The 2,861-nt window shown below is 31.9% G+C and overlaps 1 annotated feature.

The window, feature by feature from the left end:
- Positions 2,128-2,422: an enhancer, noted in NCBI's record as "tiled region #5628; HepG2 Activating non-DNase unmatched - State 12:CtcfO, and K562 Activating DNase matched - State 13:Ctcf". NCBI's record gives its function as "activates a minimal TATA promoter and a strong SV40 promoter by Sharpr-MPRA in HepG2 and K562 cells {active_cell/tissue: HepG2 | K562}" and the evidence as "EXISTENCE:reporter gene assay evidence [ECO:0000049][PMID:27701403]".

The following is a 2,861-nucleotide window of genomic DNA, read 5'->3' as shown; positions in this document are numbered from 1 at the left end:
ATTGTGGTAGATAGATGAGTTTTCTTCGGGGTTTAAAACAAACTTTTTGAGAATAAGAGTTGTAAACATTATGTGTGAATAAATTATTCAATTAATTATGGTAAGTTCTGCTTTCACTCAACATTGCACCCCTAGTGCATACCACACTATTAATTCATGAATAAACGAATGTGTGGCTAATTAGATGAAGGGGTAAATTAGTAACCACAAGAACATGGAGGAGAGGCCACTTACTATGTCTTGGGAAAAATAAGGAATTATAAGTATTATAGAAAATCCTGTGGTCATGCAAGCTAGTGAGTAGTTTGACATGTTATTCATAAATTGTAAGCAGGGAGGGCACCAGAATATTTTTTCATGTTTAAATTATTGTGGCATAGTAGAGGCCAGAATAAATTTAGAGTGAAAGGTTGAAATGTAAATTTAAGAAATTTGAAATTTTTTGAAAATTTTGTTTAGTTAAAAAGTATCCAGAGATTCTACAAAATACCGAAAGGTTTAAACGGACAGAAGGATATTTTAAGAGGTCAACTCAGTAAATAGCCTAGTGTGATGAGTCTATTTTTTGTTTTTGTTTGTTTAATGTTTTTTCAAAGATGTATATACTAAACACCCTAGATAGACATAGTAATTTTATAGTGTTACAGATAAGCATCATAAATAATACACCTGGAGTTTATTCAATGGAGTATAATTTTAGGAATAGAAAATACTATCCAATATCGATGGCTTAAGCCAAATACTTGAAATAAAAAAATGATAAAAACAGGCCAGGCATGGTGGCTCATGCCTGTAATACCAGCACTTTGGGAGGCCCAGGCGGGTGGATCACTTGAAGCCAAGAGTTTGAGATCAGCCTGGCCAACATGGCGAAACACTGTCTCTACAATAAATACAAAAAATTATCCCGGCATGGTGGCACATGCCTGTAATCTCAGCTACCTGGGAGGCTGAGACGCGAGAATCACTTGAACCCAGGAGGCAGAGGCTGCAGTTAGCCGAAATCCTGCCACTGCACTCCAGTCTGGGCAACAGAGTGAGACTCTGTCTCCAAAAAAAAAAAAGAAAAAAAAAAGAAAAGAAAGGGATTACACATATTCTTACAACATGATTGTCTCTAAAATTGAAGGAAGAAAATAGTTCAGCTTTGTAGTTTTTAAAAAAGCCTTCTTTTTATGGGTAATTAAGAGTAGATATTGTTTGTCTGTGTCAATATAAAGAAGGTTAAGAGGAACCTTTATTTAAAATTAATTTTACATGTATATACTTCACTCAAGTACATTTTAAAAGTTCAGAATAGCAGCATATTTTCTTTAGAGTATCACATGTATAACAAGTCTATAACTGCCTTTAATAATCAGTCTTATTTATTTTAATTATTTTAAATGTTATATTTTACATTTATGCATAGTTAGAAAAACATAATTCTTCTTTCCAGGCTTTTATTTAATTTGAATAACTTCATCCCTAACAGTTATAAAACCATGATAAGGTATTATTGCAGAGCGTTGGTAAAGTAACCCTGAAAGATTTCGGTGTAGCATAGCCCATAATTTAATATTCCTCTGCTCAGAGTTAGATAATTCTACTTTCCATTTTAACATTTAAAAACAAATCCCCAGAATTAGAATATGCAACATTAAAAAAGAAGAAAAAGAAATACATAGTAAACATGAATCAATTTAACAGGAAAAGTGTTTATTTTGTTGACAGTGTTTATGGAAACTTTATTCAATTATTTGCTATATTTGAGTATATGTATGGTATGTCTACTATGATTTCATCATCCAAATATATTTTATATTTATACTAAAATGTCTTAACAAAAACATACAACAATTTAAATTTAAAAATCTATTGAAAAACCAAAAGTCTAAGAAAGAATGTTATACACACATACAGACACACACAGACACACACACGCACAAAATTCTTATAAGATTGTGAAAGGTACAAGAGGTAGCCTCTAACTCTAACATAGCTCCTAGTGATTTTTGTTTTCTAGTATAATGTGTGAGTGTGTATGTGTGTGTGTATCTCCAAGCTTATAATTTTTTTATATATATTTCTACATCTATATCTATCTATCCCTTGAGTGTGTGCTATATTTTGTAACTTGCTTGTAAGCAACAGAATATAACAAATTAATGGGATATCATTAGTTACCAAAGACCTGTGACTTCCGTATTACTGGCTACCTCTCACCCTCGCTTGCTCTCTTACTTGCCCCCTCTGGTGGACAACAGATGACAATTCATGAGCTCTCCTGTGGAGAAGACTCCAGCCTGTGAGGAACTGAGTCCTGTGTCCAACAACATGTGAGGAACCGCTAAGTCTTTGAATGATCTCGGAAGATAATCTCCCAGTTGAGCTTTCAGATGACTGCAGTCCTGGCTGACACCTTAATTGTCGCTTCATGAAATCCAGAGTCACAGGGCCTGGGAAAAGACATCCGTGTCCTTAAACATGGAAAATGTTAGATAATAAATGTTACTGTTAATAAGATATTAAATTTTGAGATGACTTGTTATGCAGGCATAGATAACTAATACAATCTTTTTAAAAACAAAAGCTAAAAAACCCCATAAGCTTGGATAAAAAAACATTGTAATATGTATACATTAATAATTACATAAAACCAATAAATCAAATAGCAAAATATAGTCTTTATAAATATTAGTACCTGTATTTAATCATCTATTAAAATCATTTAAAATATAAATAACCCTATGATAAAGATAAAGTTTGTAAATATATTATTCACGCATAGGCATGTAATAGTCCAAACAATACATAAATATAATTATATTTGTTAATGCTAAAATCTATTAAATGTCATAGCATTTTACTTATGCATTTAT

This window comes from Homo sapiens, chromosome 1, assembly GCF_000001405.40.
Source record: "Homo sapiens chromosome 1, GRCh38.p14 Primary Assembly".
NCBI lineage: Eukaryota > Metazoa > Chordata > Mammalia > Primates > Hominidae > Homo > Homo sapiens.
Note: the sequence above shows the minus strand (reverse complement) of the source record. Positions and strands in the feature narration are given on the sequence as shown.